The 22,002-nt window shown below is 49.9% G+C and overlaps 1 protein-coding gene across 26 annotated transcripts in view, besides 2 other annotated features; it reads right to left on the reverse strand.

The window, feature by feature from the left end:
* CTBP2 (C-terminal binding protein 2) overlaps nucleotides 1-22,002 on the reverse strand; it is a 178,147-nt gene that overhangs the window by 130,350 nt on the left and 25,795 nt on the right. For 5 of the 26 annotated variants that reach the window (NM_001290214.3, XM_047424672.1, XM_047424665.1 and 2 more), the window contains exon 2: nucleotides 18,846-18,946. The exons of 19 other annotated variants lie outside the window; for them this stretch is intronic. The gene's annotated coding sequence lies outside the window, so the exon portion shown is untranslated. Of the gene's footprint in view, nucleotides 1-7,990; nucleotides 8,203-18,845; nucleotides 18,947-22,002 lie in introns of all 26 variants that reach the window. 2 more of the 26 variants (XM_047424675.1, XM_047424667.1) reach the window with 1 other exon arrangement.
* Nucleotides 2,259-3,084: an enhancer, noted in NCBI's record as "H3K27ac-H3K4me1 hESC enhancer chr10:126805494-126806319 (GRCh37/hg19 assembly coordinates)". NCBI's record gives its function as "activates a minimal SCP1, AML or CMV promoter by ChIP-STARR-seq in primed H9 embryonic stem cells {active_cell/tissue: H9 hESC(primed)}" and the evidence as "EXISTENCE:reporter gene assay evidence [ECO:0000049][PMID:30033119]".
* Nucleotides 21,178-21,775: an enhancer, noted in NCBI's record as "H3K4me1 hESC enhancer chr10:126824413-126825010 (GRCh37/hg19 assembly coordinates)". NCBI's record gives its function as "activates a minimal SCP1, AML or CMV promoter by ChIP-STARR-seq in naive H9 embryonic stem cells {active_cell/tissue: H9 hESC(naive)}" and the evidence as "EXISTENCE:reporter gene assay evidence [ECO:0000049][PMID:30033119]".

Below are 22,002 nucleotides of genomic sequence, written 5' to 3' on the forward strand. Positions count from 1 at the left end.
TTGATGGGGGCGTCTGAGAAACTCTGGTGTGGCTCCTTCCAGGAGGACTGGGCCTGCCTTCACTTGAACTCATAGCGTTCTTTCAGAACAGCTTCTGTACTCTGCATGGCATGGAAGGGGTGCCCACCCACCCACCCAAATGCAGAGATAACAGAGGCCAGGCGAGCAGCTCAACCTGGCCTGGCCCCCCCATGCCGCCTGCTGTGAGCAGCATTCATCTAACCAAGTGCCCGCTTACCTACGCTTTCTCTGCAGGAGGGATTTCTAGTGATATTTCTGCCATCTGAAGCTCACATGTGCCAGCTCTCGTTAGGACTTGAGGCTTTCTGCTTGAACTCACATTTTGGCTGTCTAGGCTCCTCCTCCTACTACTGTCCCGCCGTGGATGGCGAAGGATTCATCACCCCTGCTTCAAGGTGGGGCACCTCCTGCTGCCTCCTCTTGAGGCTGGCCCTGCGGCTGGGTCACACCAGCCAGAGAGCAGAACTTCAGCTCAGCGTGGGCATATATTAGGGGAGAAGAAAGACTGATCCTAAAGGGGCCCTTGCACCCTGGAAAGCCTTATCTGAAACTGACTCATGGTTTCCACGGGTCTGGCTGAACGGAGCACCACTGTGCGCTGTGTTCCTCACACTCCAGGAAGCACCGTTCACGTTTACTGCTAAAAAGAGAAAACTGGAATGTGTCCACAAAACCATCCCTTAGGCGATCAAAAGTTTCCCACAGGTAATGGACTCTGGGAAGGGACAAGGGAAAGAACAAGGAGTTAGCAAGAATTAATCCCAAGTTCCGCAGGCCAGCATCGGTGGCTGAGAAGTAGTATCCTGCCTGTGATTTGGAGGTAACAGCATCTACCTTCACAGGTGGTCAGGCCCTTTGAAAGAGAGAACCCATGGAAGGTTCGTCCCAAGGCCTGCATACAGCAAGCACTCAATAACTGTGTGTCATCATCAGACTCCAGACATGTCTCCAGGCTGAGGCCGTTATCCACCTCTTCTAAGAAACTCATCTCTGCCTAACTCATGAGATAAACAGTTGACATTCAGCACAAGAATCCAATAGTCCTAATCAGGTCATTGATGGTTAATGGTTAGGCATCCCAAGCGTTCCCCTCCCTTGAAAGGTGGCCTCACTGCCATCCTGTGGTATGGCTGTGCTCAGAAAAGAGGGATTGCGTAAAGAACCATCCAGAATTCTGCACTTCTGCCCCAAGCACAGGGCATGGTAGCAGGTCAGAGTAGTCTACAGTCTTCGCCCCCTATACTCCACACCCCTGCCCACCACAAACATCCAGGCTTCCTCAGAGACCTCTCTGGACTAGATGCAACATCAACTATGACCTCAAACTCCTGGATCCTTTCAACAGGGATTTCCTGAGCACCTACTCAGTGCCAGGACTGTGCCAAGCCCCAGAGGCACAGGAGCAAAACAGAAACCTGGTCCCTGCCCCAGGGACTCAGGAGGGGCCACCGACTCCAGGCCCGAACCCAGCACTCAGCCCCCGCCCCACTGTTGCCCAAACCACCGAATGACTGTGCCACAAGGTCCCAAGCAAACTCTGGGGCCAAGGCCTGTACCCACGCCTCACGTAGAGACGGGTAGTGTGCAGGTCACAGTGCCCCACAGCTGGCCTGAGGTTTCTGGAAGCATGGTGTCTGTTAGGACGAGTGAACGCCCTCTGCCTCACAGACACTCCCTCGGCACCCATGCTGACGGCCTTCTCAAAATGGGCCCGTCACATGGGTACCCAGGAAATGTCCCACCCTTCTCCCCACACTCTGCCCCTCCTCCCAACACTCTGGCCCCCTTCAGAAGGGGTGACTTACCATGGGGGTGCTAAAAGTGGGACCCACAGAAGCCGAGCTGTATCAGAAGCCGAGCTAAAGCCACAGCCCTGGGGATCACGCCCACCCCTCGGAGGCATCCAGACACAGCTCAGATACCCCAGGGCAAGCCCCCTCTCCTAGCCTGACACTCCCTAGAGCACCACGGCACTGCCTCGGGGTATCAGTCAGTATGTGGGAAGGGGAGGACTCTCAATGGTAGGACCACAAGGAAGACATGTAGCTGTTTCCCAGTCCCTGAGCGGATGGCATGGAAAGTGGTGCCAGGGGCTTTCCCCACACATCCCATAGCAGATCCTCCCAACGATTTCAAGTTCAAGGGCAGCGGTCAAGGAAAAGCCTCGGGCAAAATCTTGTCAAGAAGCCAAATGCTCTGCCCCAAAACTGACCTGCCTACAGCAGCATGAGGCAGGATGGTGGCCCTTGACTCGAGGCCATGAGAAGCAGCCCAGAGGACCCATGGGTTCCCTGAAGGACCAGGGACAGGCACTCAGCTGCCCGCCTCCTTTCCTGCGTACCACAGTGGCTCCTGGTTCACACACCCCCAGCCACCCTCAGTGCAGTCTCTGGCCACCTGTGTGTGAACACGGGCCACACCTGTGCTCTCCCACAAGGCGACATCCCGCTCCCTGGCCTTCCCAACCCTCCTCTGCCCCGACTCTCTTCAGTTGCAGTGAGGACGCGCAGTACAACGCATTGTAACGGGGGCAGTGGGGGGTGGCACTGGGATGGCCGCCAGCTGGCTCTGCAGGAAGAGGTCATGTGCAGTCCTGGGGGCTGCTGGGGGTAAAGACAGGCATCCCTGAGCAAACGGCAGTGGGAGATGCCACCTCTCCTCACTTCTCAACTCTGCCACCGAGCACCACACAGTGGGGTACACGTGTGACCCATGCCCTCTAACAAGGACTTCAGGCTGCTACCATGACAGCACAGCTCAACGTTGCCTGGGACGGCACCCCCCAAGCCCACCATATTAATTACGCGCCTGGCCAGCCTTTAAGGACAAACCCACCCTGAGAAAGGCCAAGCTCACTGGGCATGAAGCAGTGTGGAGTCCAAGTTTGGTTGGCACATGGGGAAAAGAAATACAATAAAATGACAACGTCTACCAAAGGGCTGAGTGTCAGATACACACTGGACAGGAATGAACAGGGTGTACCCGAGAGGTTGTCACTTTAGCATTGCTGGATTATTCCTTCCCGAGATTCAATTCCACCAACTATTGCCTAGTAATAAATAAACCATATTAATTAGCTTGGAAACAATTATCCTTTATTCAGGGAAGGAAAAAACAACAACCCCGAAAGCTAATTCTTTCCATGTCCCTATACAGCCACGTTGGCACAGAGGCACTTCAGGTGAAATCAACACTTCATTATGACCCCCTGATGCCCAAGAGTCTCAACTCTGAGAAGAAAAATGCCCTCTAGGCAGAAACTTTACATACACAGTCTTTGTCAGAGAGTGTTTATGGAAATTTTACAATATTAAATATATTCAGCTGGTTTTAAGAATGTAAAAAGGCCCAACAGCCAAGATTTTAGAACTCGTCTTCCAATAGAAGGCCAACCAGTGGAAAACTGGAAGGGAAGTCTTGGAATCCTGCCACTTTTTAAAGAAAAATAAAATAGGATATGTTTCCAGTGTTGTCTCAGATGTAGTCAATTAATGTGACCATTCCCCTGCTCTTTCAGCTTTCAGCTTTTCTAGATGACAGGGCCAACGGACTTGAGACGAGCTGGGTGACAAGGAGGAACTTGAAGCCCTTGCGGCATTAGCTAGGCTTCTAGAAGTGCCCCATCCGAAGTGGCTCCAGGACGGAGAAATAAACAAGGGCGTGAGATGGGAGAATGCCAGATGGGAGTCCTGGCAACAACTGGAGAAAGGAACAAGGAACAAATTGATAAACGGGTGCTGCTGATCGGGGCTGCCATGGGCCAAGTTTTGAAAGGGGGGAAGAAAAGTGGATCCACGAGCAAGCAGCCCACACAACGACGTCATTTTGTGAATTCAAGCTGCATTCCCACACCCAAAGCTGCCCGTGGGCCATGGAAGCAGAGGCAGCCGGTGTGAGCAACTGGACCTGAGGCTCATGGGGCCTGGCTGCACCCCCACACACCTGTACCTGAGTGGGGCACGACAGTCCTACTTACAGACAAGCCAGGAAATCACCTGAACTTGAAAGAGACCAGTGCAGTGGAGGCGCTGGGGGGTGGGAGGGGGGGATGGGGAACGCTTAAAATCAGCCTGGCTCAGAGGGAAGCCTGGCCCTGAGGTCCCCGCAAAGGCGCGCAGCTCCGAAAGACAAGTAGAAAACACATCCCAACTCAGAAGCACTTGAAGGTATCCGTCTCTAGTCTTCCATGGTTCCACACTGTAAGTGGACAAGGCGGCTGCTGGTGGAGGTGCACACACCCCTGTGAGATGGTCAGGAACCTGCCAGAAGGAGCGGACATAGGAGATGGCTCACTCCAACTGGTGGCCACTACTAACCAGCTGGGGCATCCTGGTGTCAGGCTCCGGTCTTGCTTTCTCCCTGATAGGGTGACCAAGAGGGGTTTTCTGAGCTCCTTTCCACAGGGTATCCCAAGGACACCTGATCTAACAAGGGCCAGACTATATATTTACTATAGGCCCTACACAGGGCCAGAAGGTGAGCAGAGGGGTCTTCAGACATTCAGAGCACACACCCATACCACAGCGAGAGATGGAACCTCTAAAGCTGGCAGGTTTTAATGCAAGATCCCCTGACCAAAAGCAGGATGCTGGCTGCTCTGAGGAGTCAGCGAGGGTGTGACCCCCACTCCCACTGCGGTGGAAGGAGTGGGCATCTTTTCTGTAAACTTGAGATTCCATGCCCCACTCCACTCTCCCCCTAGGGAATCCTTAGAAAAGTGGTCAAGATGTACCAGACCATGCTGGAAACCAGAGTAGGATAAATTTTCTCCTGATAGAGCTGTACAGGGATATGTCAGACACTATCCATCTCAACAATTATGTATTTACTAAAAGTATTTCAAAATACTTCAAAGACATAGGAAAAATACTTATAGGTCAAATGGAAAATAAACTATGAAACATGTATTCAAATCTCACATATTTTAAAACATTCTTCAGTGAATCTCATTTTTAGTATATACGTATATGCATAAGAGACAGAATAGATCCAAAGTGTTATTCTCCATGCTAAGATTAAAAAGGATTTTTACAATGTGTAACATAACTATCATTTACTTATTTCTTATACTTTCCTGTATTTTTCTATTTTCTGCAAAGAGCATGATTTCCTATAATATGGAAAAATGTGAGCTGTGAGCTCCTGTCAGGAGGGCTCTGAAGCTGGGGTGCAGAAAGTGAGCTGCTGCCTGGGCTGCTTTGCCTTGCAGGTTTTCGGGCCACACCAACATTGTAAAGTGGCCCCATTTAGGATGTAAGTCCCTGCGTGGCTGCTGTACTACAAAGGTGGGTTTTGAAAAAAGCCAAGTGTCCCTCCACCCTCATGCAAGTTCGATACAGAAAAGGATGTTCTCTTGGGGATTTCAATGCAGATGTCTCAATTCCAATAGCCAATCAACCTGGGAGAGAATTGGTGGGCTGGAGAGACACAGCGAGAATCCCTTGCCCCAGCGAGGATCTAGGACCCCGACTGATGCCGGGAAAGAGGCACAGCCAAAGCCTTGTCAGGGCTCAGCCAAAGGAGACTTCCCAGTGGGCTCCAGCCAAGTCCTTGACCACAGATTAGACTCCAGCAGGATGAGCAGGAAGATGAGCAGGAAGTGGCATTTAAAAACAAATGAAGTGAGAACCAAATGGCTCAAAGTCCACAGTCCCTGAAAAATTACTTACAAGCGTGACCAGCTTTACATATCAACACCATTTCTTTTTTTCTTTTTTGAGACGGAGTCTCACCCTGTTGCCCAGGTTGGAGTGCAGTGGTGCAATCTCGGCTTACTGCAACTTGCACCTCCCAGGTTCAAGTGATTCTCTTGCCTCAGCCTCCTGAGTAGCTGGGATTATAGGCATGCACCACCACGCCCAGCTAATTTTTCTATTTTCTGCAGAGACAGGGTTTCGCCACGTTGGCCAGGCTGCTCTCAAACTCCTGAACTCAGGTGATCTGCCCGCCTTGGCCTCCCAATGTTCTGGGATTACAGTTGTGAGCCACCAGCCAACAACATTTCTTTAGAGAAAGGGTCTCACTCTGTCTCTCAGGCTGGAGTGCAGTGGCATGATCATAGTTCACTACAGCCTCTACCTCTCGGGCTCAAGTATTCTTCTGGGCTCAGCCTCCTGTACAGGCACGGGCCCCCAAGCCCAGCTAATTGCCCTGCCCATGTCAACACTATTGATCAATGGACTACATGTGCAATACTGACTGGGAAAGTGAAGTTAGTAAAATTAAGGTGGCCAGATATCGGTTCCTTGACCCTGACTCTCTCACATTGCCTTCCCCTGACAATGACCTCACCCTCAACCCTTTATCTATTGCAAAAGGCATTACATAAATGGGCTGCCTGTTCTGTAACTGGTTTAGATGGGCAGATCCATGAGAGCAGAGACAGAATCCAAGTTTTATCCTGCAAAGCTCAGAGACCAACCAAATGGTAAGGAGCCCTTGGGTGAGGCTGTGAGTCACCCCAGGAGAGTGTTCTCTCCCTCTGCTTTCTCTTCTTCCCCCAGGAGCCCAGGTGTGGTCACCTGTACCTCCCTCATGGGGCCACAGCGGGAAGCACAGGCAATACCAATGCACAGCGCTCAGCGTGGCGCCTGGCACGCCAGAGGCACCCAAGTGTTAGCTGTATCATATACCAAATGCTTTACTCACACGGCTTGGTGAATTCGAGAATCCACAGTCCTGGAAAGAAAAGAGGCCTGAAGGAAACCGGGTTCTATTTAATTTTAAACTGAATTATGAACCCAAACCTCAAGGTTGGGGGAGATTTCAATTGAAAATGAAGAGTATCCTTGCTGTGGAATGGAGCAGCAGCTAAACCCACCATGTACAAACTACTCACTTTTCAGACTCTGTACTTTAAAAAATCCATTTCAAGGCTATGTATATCACAGAAAATAGCATATGAAGAAACTCTGCAAACACAGCCATGAAGGAAGCACCCAAAGACAGAACTGAATTCCCGGGTCCAAAATATATTCCCTCTAGAAGCAACTCATTCTATTTTTAAGAATTAATCACAGTGCCAAACGAATACAACAACATCTAGAAATGGGGAAAAAGGCCTGCGTCCCCCAGACCATCAGCAACAAACTCCTTTCCACCTTGCGCCACACCACGCTGTCACCCAGGCTCAAGAAACACATCACGGAGGTGAAACCTCCCAAACAGCAGCCCCTTCACATTCAGCCAAAGTGAGTTCCGACCACCCAACTCTGATGGTCCTCGATGCAGGTGACGCAGCCTCTTACCAGGGGAATCTGGGATGGGAGAGAAAAGCCAAACTCCAGACCAACCTGCGGCCCACCCTAACCCAGGCCTGTGAACCAAGAGACCTTCCAGTCCTGGCTCCCCAAAAAGCAAAGGGCACTTGCCTACAATCAGCAGCAGGGCTGGCTTTAGTCTTGATTCAGGAAAAAAAATAACTGCAGAGCCCCTAAAGGACATAGAAATATTATCTATTGATTCATGCGCATCAAGTCACTAACACTGGGAATCCTGAACTAACTTACACACGTATGTAACTGCTCAGCCGCATTTCTGCAGTTTGGAAAGAATGGACAACCTTTCAGCATGGATGTTCATGAGGGTAGCAATTCACAAATGCTGTTCTCACATGATGAACATATAAATACACACAAGTATGTATGTTCAAAATGCAGGGCAAGCGTGCTTTCTGAATGAACAACTCAACATTTTCACTGTGAGATTAGATTCTTGGGACTTGTAATTTTACAGTTTTCACTGAAGCATGCCAAAGCCACATAGGTGCAACAGGCCTTCCTCCTAAAGAAACCATGCCAGCACAGCCCTCACTTGCCTGGTGCACCGGGCCTGCACCACACGTATTATTATTCTGAGAGCATGAGCGCCAAGAAAGAAAACCGAGACTCAAAAGCCCAAGGGCTGTTTCTTCATGTTTCAGTCAATGTACACTGTGCAAACACATGCAACACAGATGAACAAAACTCACAAGGTGAAGGGGGTTCTTCCACTCTTTCCAAAATCAGCCAAGCCAACTGGTACAAAAGTCACTCCCAATACGACCCCATGGACATCTGCTGAGACGCGACGAGGTAAGAGGGGGCTGTCGACATGACCAGCTCTACTTGTCACCAAGCAAGGGTCCTGTCACTCTCGGGTTTCCATGATGGATTTCCTCTTCCGCAGTGTTCTGGTCTAAGGCTGGGTCAAAAATCTTCCAGTCAATACACAGAAACCAACCAGCCATACATACAACAACTTGAATGAATCTCAAAGGGAATTAAGCCAAGTGAAAAATCCCAATCCTCAAAGGCGGCAATGCTGTAAGGTTCCATTTATATAACATTCTTAAATGACACTGGAGAGATGGTGAACGGATTAGTGGTTGCCAGGCTTAGAGACCAGGAAGTAGGTAGGACACGCCAACTCCAGAACTTTCTTTGAGCAAACTGGGTCTTAGAAGCTGGTCAGCTGTGTCTACCCATGTGTGTCGACCATGTGCTTCAGCTGGGGACCGTCCTGGCCACCTCAAGTGGATATGACTATAAAAGGGCAACGGGGGGATTCTTGGGCTGGTACAAATAGAGACCTACCCGTGCTAAAATTGCACAGACTAAATACACAGCCAAATGAGTGCATGTTACACTAGGGATTTCTGAATAGTATCCATGGATTCTATCCACGTCAATTTCTCCGCTGTGTTGCTGTTACCAGAACTCTGCACAATGTTACAACTGGAGGGCACCAGGGAAAGGGTTTAAGGGACCTCCTGTATTACCTTCTCCTACCCTGTGAATTCATTCTGTATGTGAATCTGCAATTACTTCAAAATAAGTTTAATTTTTAAAATAACAGATTTGTCATTTTTTGGTTTATGTGGTTTAGCTCATGCTGGGCACTAAGTAGGGCAATTCCTTTCTTTAGGGGATCAGCGCTTACAAGGAGGGGCCATGAGGAGCTGGCCCTGTTGACACTGCTTACGCACTCAACTGGGATCTGTGTCCTCCGGCTCCCCAGGGGCCCCGGGGTGCATCCTGTCTCTCGAGAAGCCAGAGCTCACAATTCCTGAACCCTGACCTTCTCTCACTGGAGCTGGCAGAGATGCTCGTGCTACGTCAATTCTTTCCTGGGAGCGGGCATGACTGACTCATTGTTCTCTCCCAGGTGCTGCCAGCTGCCCAGGCCTCCCAGGGCCACACCCAACAGAGGGCACGTTCCCTGACAGAGCAGCCCTGGAGGACAGACCAGCAGAGAAAACCAGCCCCCGGGGCAGCTCTGTGCTGGGCAAGTGCCTCTCTGGTGGGTAACAACTTCAGGACTCCCTGACCCAGTCTGGCTAAATCGAAACTACAGAGCAGGCTGGAACAGGCCAAGACTGTCCCCAGCTGACATACACAGTTGTACGCTGGGCTGGCCGGCTTCCAACACCCAGCTTGCTCAAAGAAAGTTCTAGAGCTGGAGTGTGCTAGCAGATAGCCAGGGTCAGGGGAGACCCAGAGCTACGCCCCTGCTTCTCGAGCCTGGGGACCTTGCTGGTGCCCTCAAATGCCACACCAGCCTTTTGTATCACCCGAAAGGTCTTTGTGGCACTCTGTGTCTTTTCCTGGGCCTCCCCTGCTGCCTCCCTTTTAGGAAGGGCTGGCATACTCGACGCTAGCACTCCCGGTAACTCCCCGCTGGTTCAAAGAATCCAAAAGAAAACTGCAGGAGCGTCTTTGCTGTTTCCGCCTTTATTATCTTCAAGGTTCCACGTTTTTTCAGTTCATTCGACAATTTACTATCTGTCAGCAACAATAAAAGTACCTCCATCTCCCAAAATGTGCCACTAGGTACACGTGTATAGATAAAAAATAAGCAGATTTTAATAATACTATTTTTTGAAATTCTATAAACCCTTAAACAGTCATTTACCAAAAAAGCTGAATCACTTTCAAATCATCAACATTGCTTAGCTTTAAAGCTGCTTAAAACACACACAAACCAGTGACTCTTCCACACAAACAAAAATTATATTCTACATACATTAAATATATAATTTGATTAAACATATTTATGTCTTTGTGATGACATTTAAAATAGAAGTAATCATTTTCTTTTTTAAAACAAAAACTCTTTCAATTATAATTCAAAGCTGTCAAACCAATCTTCTGCTACAGATCTTTTAAATGTCACATACCTTCAAAAGGGGATGGCAGTTTCCTTTTAAATATGCAATTCCAAACAGTGCCTTCTGAATCAAGAATGTATTAAAATACACCGCTGGCATTTATCTCGATGAAGTATCGCCCTCTGCCCCCTCCCTCCTGATAGATATGTACAGACGCACGGCACTCAGATGTGTTTCTCCCCAGTGTAACTTGGGAGCGGTTGGTGCCACTGCCACTGGCTGTAGCCACAGGGCTCAACACCAAGTCACACTCCTAACACCTTAAGGGGACAGAGGTATCCTCTCATGATTCTTCCAGTTTTCTTCCCAGATGGCTTGCTGAACTCTGTGTAACCCAATGTTGGCGGAGCATCAACAGCCCAATCGTAAGACAGCGTTAATCACATGCAAAAAAACCTCCAAACTCATTCTCATAAGTCAATGACCTACATATTCAATTGCTTATTTGCCATCCGAGTAGCAAACACCATGCTATATTTAAACACAGAGCTTAGATATATCTTTCTTCTAAAATGCTCAGAGAGACAGATATAAGCCTTATATTTCAGCCCTCTTCTCAACTTTAGGAAAGCAAACCTTGTCAATATCCGGTGTTTGGGAATCTCTGAAGACAACAGTCTGGTCTATTCTGCCATTGTCTTAGTAAGGAGGTACTAAGCATCATTTTCATAAAAAGCAAACATCCCCGCTGGAACTTAAGTCAATTGAAGCTTGCCTTCTTAGCACCTGACAAATAGTGCTCAGATAATGGCTCCGAGTGAGTTAAGCATGGGTCATATGCATGTCACATACTCACTGTCCCAAAACCAGTCAACAGTGATAGAGTGAATGGGACACTCAGTGTCCAAAAACCAGTCAGCAGAGTGACCAGAGTGATGGGGACGCGAATGTTTCCTAACTGCTGTACCTCGGTAGCAGAGACGACATCCAGCAGAGATGACAGCAAAAACAGCAGAAAGCTCTTGAGATCTGGGCTAAGAAAGGGAGCCATAGCTCAGGGGCTGTCCCTCTGCCAGCCTCTTGGTATTTCACTCAAATCAGAAGAAGTGTAAACAAGTCGGTCCCCGGATCCCCAACCAACGTTTGTTCAAGGGTGATGCTAAGAACATCGGAAGAAGTGTCAGGGCTGAGCATTCGAGAAACCAAATAGATGACATGCCTAACCCAGTCTCAAGCCAAAGCCAGTGCCGTCCACCTAAGAAGCAGGAGTGGACTGAGGTTGCGGGAAGGCAAGGAGGAGCCCAGGGCTCTGGCCTGTACCACTAGACCGCAGTGCAGCGGTGGCCTGGGAGAGGCCCGCTGGACACACTTCGCAATGGGCCAGTTCAGCTGCTGGTGCTTTCCTGCCTTGTCCAACTATGTGACCTCAGGCAAGTCACTTAGCCTCTCAGAAGCTCACCTGGCAGGGTCGAGAGGAATGCTACCTAGCAAGACGCTGTGATTCTCGGTAACTTAAGTTCTAATTCCACTTAAAAATAGGCAGTCATGAAACTTAACGACCAAAGCCAAACTCAAAAGTCACTGGGACTTAAAAGACATCAAGAGTTAAGGGGCTTCTCTCTTTGGGTTCAGGCTAGAATTCTCTTCCTTGGGTGCTGAACTCCGTTCCTAGCGTATGGATAGGAAGCACCAGAAAATGCCATCCGCAAGGCCAGGCCCCACAAACTGACGTGTGGTACAGCTGAGGATGGGGATGGCAAAGGCAGAAAGCCACAGATGAACCGAAATACATGGCAGGGCCAGGCCCGTCAATCAGGACAAGCCACGTACTTGTTCCTTCCCTGTTAGGGCAGATGTGCTCGCACCTCCCGGCCTCGGCCCCAGAGAAGCTACTATCTGCTCCCCTAGGCGCCAACATTCCTTATTTGATCCTTGCCATCAAGCTTTTATTCTGATCACCACCCCCCGCTATACAGACACACATATACACATCTATAGCTATTTCCACATTTCCACACCACATTCACATCTTCCACATACACACACATCCAAAAGAGCTGCGTGCACTTCTGATGGTCAAAGCCTATAGCCCATTCTCAGCTGCCATCTGTCTTGCCTGCTGCACCACACACGTGCATACACACACACATTCTCTCTCTCTCTCTCTCTCTCTCTACTCTACTCTGTCCATCCCAATACTGCATCAACTGTGAACAAGCCAGGTACTATTAAGTAAGGAAGGCTGGAAATTAAATGAGACATAACTTTGTCCTCAAGGAGTTCAAACAAGAAACAGCCGAGTGTTACACGAAGTAGGCACGGACGAAGGAGGGATGGCAACTCTGCCTCAGCCCCATGCACATGCTCTCAAATCAAAGGCACTCCAGAGGCTCCTTACCACCTGCCTTCTAGATACTTCTGTCCAACTGCATGTTCCATCAACCCCTCCAACTCTGCTCACCCGCAACCACTGACATCACTGCCTCACCCCTTGCAGTGCTCATCAACAACCCAAACAAGCCCAATCCTGCCCTGATCTCATGTCTGTGTCACTGGAACCAACAGGCCTGCCTCAACCACTGTCCACCTGCACATCTGAGAGGCTGGCAGGTCACCGGGGCTAGCCGTGCACGTCAGTTCCTGGGAAGAAAGTAGAATGTGAATCATCTTCTCTCAAACGCCTATCAAAAGCCCAGCTGAGATCAATAATTTTTTGGGAGAACAGACCTGTACCAATTGGCTCGGTGTTTGGTGAGGTATTGTAAATTTGATCCTAAATCAAAGGGTATCCCTAGAAGGACCCACATGGAATGGCCTCCTCTAAACATCCCTCCATGTTGTACTTCTGACTCTTTCCAGCAATCTCAAGCACAAGAAGCAGTTGTGGGAACCCAGGCCTGGCATCTGTTGGCAGCCCATGGTTGGTGGTAGAGCACTTTACAGCCATCACTATGCCCTATACGCACCTCCCTGTGGCAAGCTGTTTCCCTGAAGGACACACGTCATCCCTCCCTAAACTCAGAGAGAGCTGCCCAACTTAAGTTATCTGTTACAGCAACTGTCGTGAAATTTTTGGTTGCTGTATTTGCATTTTAAAATCAATTTTGGCCCTCCCCCAATCTCAACCCCTATTACGGCATCCTATTTTTTGAGTCCTCAAAGAACTTTCCTGAAAGAGGTAGGATATAAATACATAAAATGGAATCCACTTAAGAGAACATTCTAGTAACCCTATAAAACATGCTTCTAAAAGTAATGACCCCAGAGACTTGGAAGAGCTGGCTGCAGCTTCCTGAGGCCCATGAGGCTAGCACACCCAGATGCCGGGTTCTGGGGTGGCCCAGCTCATGGTGAGGCTGCTCTGGGAGCAGCTGTCTAGAATACCTACTTAGCCAAGTGTCCATCCTCACACGGAAGCAAACTAGGACAGCATGTGCTACCATGTGACCATCAGTAGGCTCCAAAAGTCCACTTCTGTCAGTCATGAATGCAAAACAGTGGGCACAGATGTCAGAAAGAACCAGGAACACACCAGGTACCAAAGGCCACGACCTTCATTCTTGACTTACTAGCCTGGAGCTTCATCAGAGAGCATGGTATTTTGGGGACAAGAGGAAGCAGGGGAAGGGAGAGACATTGGGAGGCGGGGGGAAGGAATGAAGGAACAAGAATTGTTCAGAATAGCCAGGAAAAGCAAGAGAAACAGGCCCCACCCTAATATAGAGGACACAGCTACATCTTCCAGAGCATGTGAACTCCACAGCCCACGCCCAGCAGAGCCAACGGTGCAGACCCCTGCCCCCATCCTGCTAGTAGGGAGGTGGGGGTCAAGGGAGAGGAGGGGGCCCTACCCACTCACCCTCCCATCCCACTCCACCACCCAAGCAGAAAGCCAACGTTCTGTAGGGTGGTTTAAAAAATAGCTGACTTCCATACATGATCAGTGGAAGCATAAAATGTTATAACCACTTTGTAAGACTAAACATACACCTACTCCATGACCCAGCAATTCCATTTCTAGGAACTTACCCAAGAGAAATGAAATCATATGTCCACAAAAAGACATGCATGAGAATGGTTCATAGCTACTTGCTCAGAATAGCGAAAAGCTGGAAACAGCCCAAGTGTCCATTAATGGGTGAGCGGGTAAAGAAACTGCGGTCGAGTCATTCAGTGGAATACTACTCAGAAGTAAAAAGGAACAAGAGAATAATCTGGCCCAAAATGTCTTAAAAATCTCAAATACATCATGTGTGTGGCATGAAAAAAGCTTCATGCAAAAAGGTACATGTGTCATAATATACATACATATTAAATTGTATGTATACATGTATATGCTGTGTATAATGTACATACATGTATTATGTAGTATTACATGAAATTCTAGAACAGGCAAAACTACCTCTGTTGAAGGAAAAGAAACCAAAACAGTGGTGGCCTGAGATGATCAGGGAGGTGAGGGTGGGGACAGCCTGGCAGGGCCCCAAGGGGACTTTCCGGAGTGACTGTAGCTCTTGGTAGGGCTTTGGGGGGTACGCAGGTATGTGCGTGTGTTAGAACTAACCAAATGGCACACTTAAGGTCATGCATTTCATTTGACCTCATGCCCCTTCCCCACCAATCCCCACTTCCCTCCCAACACTTCCTCTAAGTTTTACCTCAAAGAAAAAACAGAAAGAACCACAAACAGGTTGACCTTAGGTCATGAGACCCGTGCTCCAGGTGAAGATCTGAAATTCAGCCAAGAAATGTGGTCAAACAGAAGATGACCAGGGCTGGGGGCACAGTGTGTCCTGCCGAACCCGGGGGTGGTGTGCACATTCATTGTAGATGATCAGACCCACCTGTCCGGTTTTCCTAACAAGAGACTGAAAACAATACCAAGACAACCTTCCAAAGGAGACTCCAAAACCTCAGCTGGGAACATTTTATTCAGAGCGATTCACAGGAGGCCTGTCTCTGGAAGGAGGAGCACAGAAACACCTGTGAGGACCAAGGCCCTGGAGGCACAGGGAGAATAACTACTCCAAGTCCAAGTCTGCAAACAGCACACGACAGAGCAGCAACCTCTGCCCGTGAGCTCAAGGAGGTCCAGGACACGGTCAGGGTTGTTTGTGCTAACGCAGGCTGATGAAACAGAGGACCCTGCACCGAAAAGGGCCCTCTGGGAAGAAAACCCCAGGACAATGACATGTGCAACATGCTGGCTGTACAGGGCTTGGAAGCAGGGCAAAGAACCCCCAGGTATAGCCCACAGGATTTCTCTCTTTTTTTTTTTTTTTCTTCTTTTGAGACAGAGTTTCACTCTTGTTGCCCAGGCTGGAGTGTAATAGCATGATCTCGGCTCACTGCAACCTCTGCCTCCCAGGTTCAAGTGATTCTCCTGCCTCAGTCTCCCAAGTAGGTGGGATTACAGACGCACACCACCATGCCCAGCTAATTTTTGTATTTTTAGTACAGATGGGGTTTCATCATATTGGTCAGGCTGGTCTCGAACTCCTGACCTCAGGTGATCCACGCACCTCTGCCACCCAAAAATGCAGGGATTACAGGTGTGAGCCACCATGCCTGGCCAGCCCACAGGACTTCTAGCCTTCCCTTGCTGAGCCTCTTTGGAGGCAGGGCAGCCCTTGGCCACGGTTCCCCAAGAGCAAAGTGATTACCACAGGTCCACTTGGAAACACGCTGCCAAATGCCACACGACTTGGACGCAGCTGCTGTTAAATGCTGTGTCCTATAAAAGTGGGACTTCTCAATCTGAAGTTGCGTTCCCAGCTCAAGTCACACGTGGGCTGCACTTACAAGCCTCTCAAGAGGCCCAAGAAGCTTTTAAAGTATTAAGTATAGAAAATACATGCAACTTCCCAGTTAAAATATAGTGCGTGGACACTGGAAAAGGTCAATGCAGCCTCCACTCCATTTTCATTACTGATGCTTCACCCAGATGGTGGGGAAGGTACAATAAAAGCATATTTAGAGACCGACTGTACTGCCAGACAAGACTAGCGGAACTCTAACTCCCAGGTTGCCTTGATCTGAACAGGTTCTAGAAACTGCCAAGCATCGCCCCCTCATTTTAGAGGGAGGCACCCTGCCACCCAGAGAGGGCAAAGGGCTCGCTGTCCAAGCTGGAGAAAATCCCTGGGTATCGCCTCCGACCCACTGTATCTCAAATACGATGTGTGTTGGCTCGGCTCTTCCAAAAACCGAAGCCAAGACACGATCAGCTCTGGAAGAGACTTCTTGGGGAGGCAGACAGGCGGGGAGGCAGAGGGAGACGCAAGTCTGACAGCAGATGCAGATGAGATGGCAGGGAAGGCAGGAGGCTGGGGAGGAGGAGTCTTCACCTGCTGTCCCCGGCTGGGAGCAGCCCGCAGAGTGCAGGCTGTCTGGGAACGCCATGCTGGATTTCCACTGCGGGATTCAGAACGTAGCAGCTGGGGCCACCAGTCACTCACATTCCCAGAAGCAGAAGATCAGGAGCGTCTTCATGGCTGCCACACCATGCCAGGTCATTGCTGCAATTTTACAGCCCGACTTGCTTCTAAACTTCTCCAACGTTTGAAAATCAGGCTTTAAGGGCACCTAGCCGAACCCAAAGTGTTTAGGTGGATGCCATTTGGGTAGGTGTGAGGCCCCCAAACAAGGGCAGAAGGGAGGGGCAGAATCTACAGGACTCAGTGAATAAATGAGCAAGAATGAGTGAAGTGAAGCCATGAGGTTCATTTAGGCTGGTGAATGGGAGACGGCGCTGCTTTCTATCTAACCCAAGCAAGTGTAGGACAGGGAGGGGGCAGCGGCGGGTTGGAACTACCCAACTCACTGTACTACTTACGTTCACATTGTCTGCTTTAACAAACAAGCCTAAAATTGTGTATCAGCTCAACACATTAGAATTTGATTTCTAAATCACAAGAACATCAGGCTCATGTTCCTAATGGGCAACTCTGCTCCACAGAGTGATTCAGGCACTCAGAATCCTCCCCTAGCACCTAGGCATTCTCTGCTGGATTTTCCACATCCAGCTGACAGTCAACAGGAGAAAAACTGAGCAAGGCACACTTGTTTCTTAATTAGTGCTGCCGGGAAGCGACACACATTGCCACCCACATTCCATGTGGGAACTATCATGGAGCCTCCGACAGATACTTGAGGTGGTGGAAGGGAAGCAGGGCCCTTTGGTGGACAGCTGGTGGTCTCTGCCATACTCACCTTCTGTCTCAGTCTTAGGTCAGGCTTATTTCGGAAGCATTATAGCACTCTGGGTCTCTGAACACAAGAACCCTGGATGATCTGACCACTGAATCAAATCAGAAAAGAGAGGCCAACAACTCTAGAAATGCAACTAGTAAATCTTCTGGTAACAAGTGGAATTTCGTTGACCAATTCAAAAGTCCAGCAACTGCCTTTTTGTTGGAAAATGCCAAACTCTAAAACTTTTGCAAAAACAGGTTCATGTTCTTCAAGTCTAAGACATCATCAAACCTTAGACCAGCATCATTTTATAAACCACTAAGGGAGAAAAAAAAAAATGCCGTCAATTAAACTATGGCTTGTGATCAATTTTATGACACAACTTGAGTCCAGAGATGTTAAAGTGCTGAAAAACCAATACAGTGTCTTCAATGAAGTCTTCCAACAGCCTTGTCAGAAACACAGGAATGGCCATTTCACAGATGAAGGCCTGGGGTTCCCACAGTTGGGGGACTTGGCAGCAGTCAAACAGCTGGCGAGGGGCGGAGTTGGAGGAGGAGGATTTCCAACCAGCCTCTGACTCAGCACCTGGTAGAGTCCTAATCCCTGCAGCTGTCTCCCAGCACACCCCCAAACTCTCAAAGCCCAAGCCAAGCACCAGTATTCGCACATCCGTACAGACTGCATCAAATGGCAAATCAAGCACCTTGGGTATATAATACTTATAAACTTATTTGAATAAAAAAAACTCCACTAAAATATGGGTTTTCATCTGCACAGCACTTTACCAACAAATTCCACGACATTCAAGTGAGAACAGATGATGTACTGAAATATCAACAACAAGAATCCGATTTGGTAAACAGCAGAGTGCTATTTTCACATCATCCTAATGAATTTAGTTTCAATAAACACAAATCAAGCAAACACTCAGAAAATTTTAACAGTATGGCAAAATGACGCTTAGAATGACAGCCCCAGAAGATGAAGTCTTTTTTGACAAGTGACAGATACCACAAGGAGAGAAGAATCAAAATGGATGACTGGATTTAAAGGGCCTGCCTGTGGCCCACATCCCTGAACTTGGCCCTGCACCTGCTTGCTAAATCTCCTTGATTGTGGGGGAAGCAGCCAGAAGAAAGCTCTAGATCCCTCAATCCTGCTCAAGCTGCCAGGCACATTCTAAGAGCATGTGTCTGGTGCATGGAAATCCACATACAGCAGGTCAGTGAGCACCCACAGAAGACCACACAGATTCAAACTCTTGCCCATAGCCTCCATCTCAGTATGACCTTCAGCATCAAGCACTGATTACTGGTAAGTATGTAGAGATGGGAGAGGACAGGTCAAGGCAGACCCAGCCTCCTCCTCAGACCTGCTCACCTGCCTACCCATCCCCCAAGATGTGTCTCAATCCCATCGTGCCCTGAAAGTAGAGCCCAGGTTAAAATCTCAGCAAAGAGTTTCACAAAGTAGCAGTGAAGCCAAGCATGCAACGATCAGGCCAGAAACTCAAAACCAGGGGATAGGGAAACAGGCTCACGCGCTGGTGGGGTACTCTGCAGCCAGGAGGAGCGCAGGCAGGGCCACCTCTTCGGAGGGTGTCTGAGCAGTCCTTCAATCTGAATCCTTTGTTTTCTCCATCTGAAAACAGAGGCTTGTTGTTTGGAGGGTGTAATTAGAACGCATTTGAACACAACTATAAACTCTAAATCACTTTAAAGAGGCTAGTCTAGTCTTTTGAAATGACTGTTTTTGCCTTGGAAATAATAAGCCACCATGAACAAATTTAATCAAAGTTGTATTTACAAAGAGTCTCAAAGCCTAAAGCAGAAGTATACCATCTCTCCTCCACACTGTGAGCTCTTTAGGGACAGGGAAGTGCCTCATTCCTATTCAGCCGACCATGTGGAAAACTACAACTGACTTCTGAATGGCAGGCACTTCCTAACCACGGCTGGAAGACTGGAGCAGCTTCTTTCTGCATGGGTGATAAAATGTGTCCAAAAAGAAACGCACATAAAGGCATGTAAAACTTAGCAGGTAGGATATCAGGCAAGAAACAAACTACAGATCAGATTTGAAAAGGACACGATCAGAAGGAACAAATGGAAACATTCCGAAGTCCTGTCCTGGAGCGCTAGTTACTCGCTGCATGCTGTTCTGAAAATGCAAATATTGAGCAGCCCCAACGACCAGATTTAACAAGCCCATCACCAACAGCCAACATGACCAACATCAAGTAATTCTGTTATCATTCCCAACTCAGAGGTGGAGAGACTGAGGCTTAGAGTCTCATGCCAGAGTCCACGGCAGTAAGAGCAGATTCAAATCTAGGCCAACTCAAGTCCACCCAGCGGAAGCCCCCCCGCCCCGTGCCTTGCTCAGCAGAGACAACAGGGCAGGAGGAAGCGGGGAGAAAGGAAGGTCCATGACTCTGTAGGGACCGCCTGGTGGGGAATTCAGGTCCCTCTGCTTCCTGGCCCTCTGCTTCAACCAGGGGAGTTCACAGCAAAGTTCTTGTTCTGAACCCCAGGTAGGGACCATAATCCTACCGCTCCCAGCAACTGCTGGTGACTCCTCTGAGCAAAGAGCACTCTGCCAGGCAGGACCAATCGAAGCCCACAAAGGCTGGAGAACCAGGCTGGCAGGCCCCTCCTTTTCTGCCCCCGCACCACAGCAGCCCCAGACACGCGGCGCGGGAGGACGAAGAGAACCTGACCAATGAGGGAGGGTGAAGCGCCCAGCACCCTGGGCCACCTCTGCGGGTCCTTGGGGAAAGGAGCCAACAGTACAGATGCGTGTGGCCAGGCCTCCTCCCATCTTCCCCCAGCCTTTCCCTCCCAGCCTGGAGAGGGAGTCAGGCATAGCCCTCCCCACTCCACCTACCCTGCTGCTTAGCTCCTCCTGCCTCCTGCCCCCTGCCCCCTGCCCCCGGTATACTCAACCCTCAATAATACTAAAACCCACGTTAATACTAGAACCCACGTTCATCCCAACAGCCAACCCCCGGGGACCTTAGCCGACGTTCACAACCTCAAACCTTCCCGTCATAGGCAGCGGCAAGGCTACATTGTGCATGGATGCCTTGGTGCGCCCCCACTCGCTGCGCTGGGCTAGAGGGGAGCCCCTTCTTGATCCAGGTATCACTGTTAGGTTTACTTCCTCCTGCACCCTGGGAGGAAACCAAGTCCCCAGTCTCTCCCTGACTCTGCCTTCTACAAAAGCCCAACCACCAGGAAGGAAGCCAATGCCCAGGAATGCCTCCAGGTGTCCTTTGTTCCCTGCAGCACCCGCTCCACCACCCTCTCTCCCTACTGTCCACAAGACAGCCTCCCACCTTTGTAGGCCAAGGATTCCCATCTGAGGGCTCCGAAAAAAATGTAAGGTCCCGGAATCCCTTGAGACACTGGAAAGCCAGATTCTTTTTCTATAGAAATGCATATATGACCGTCCCCATCCCATCCCCCATCGCCTCGTGGGGTTCCTGGGCTGATCCCCCACCCAGGCAGGAAGCCTCAAGAGGTCCATAGTCTGAGTCAAGCCCTCCAGCTTTGTCTCCTAGGCAACGGCTGCTTTCTCCTTCCAGCTACACATGGACCAAGGCAGGAAGATCCCAGCCTCCCTTCATTTCTGGCATCCCAGCAGCTAGCCCTCCTCTCCATCCCCACGCACACAGGCACCTCACCCTATGGAGCTCATTCCACTGCATTCTTTTGAGGAAGTGAAACAGCCCTGAAAGATGACCCTCACCTGCCGATGGGAAGCCAGGCCACACTGGGCTCACCACTCGGGACACTTCTCGGTGTGTGGCCCTGGGTGCCCCTGTGCTGCTCTCCTGCCTGGCCCCACAGCAGGAGCGTACCTGTCAGTCAGGTGTGCATTTAAGAAGTCGGCCTCCCAGGGCAGCCTTCTGCCCTCTGACCCTGCTCCCAGTCTGTGGGGCAGCGAAGTTAGGACTTACCTGATTCTCCAGCCCATCCCTTCCGGCCCACGAGCAGAACAGGACAAGTGGCCTCAGCTGAGGAGTGCTGGCTGGGCAGTGGTTCCCTACCTGGTTGTTCATTAGAGTCACCTGGGAACTTTTTATTACCAAGGCAGATGCCACTGTGGACCACACACTCAGAACCTGGGGGTAGGATTAAGCTGGGATCTTTTTTCAAAGCTCTCCAGGTGATTCTCAGATCCAGATAAGGATGAGAACGAAGGGGCTGGAGGGACCCAGGCAGGGGGCGGCCTCCTAGGGGAGGGTGAGCTGGGAGGGAGGCCCAGGCTGGCCCCTCACCCTCACAGCTCACAGCCTACCTCCTGTGAAAGGCCAGCCCTGACCTCAGGGTGCATGGGTGGGGCTCCCCAGGCCCCAGACACATCCCCCTGTCTGGCTCACCCAGCTTGATCGCCTGCCCAGTGTTCTCTGGTTGGGTGGTCAGCTCCTTGCAGGCAGGAGCAGGTCAGGCTTGTTCAGGCCACCACTCCAGAAAAGCATCGGCCACACTGTTCCCCCACCCTAACCCCTGGTGCCCAGCTCATTAGCCTTGAGTTGAAGAAAGGCCCTCCTCTTTTGTGTGCCTATAGGAGTGGGACAAGGTACTGTGGAGGATGTGGGAAAGAAAGAAAATGAACCCCATGGAGCCCATTCTTGCAGGAATTATGCCCTCAGCACCTTCCAAGCCTCCCTACTTAGGCCTCTTTTGCTCCTA

The sequence above is a fragment of the Homo sapiens genome, chromosome 10 (genome assembly GCF_000001405.40).
Source record: "Homo sapiens chromosome 10, GRCh38.p14 Primary Assembly".
Taxonomy (NCBI): Eukaryota; Metazoa; Chordata; class Mammalia; order Primates; family Hominidae; genus Homo; species Homo sapiens.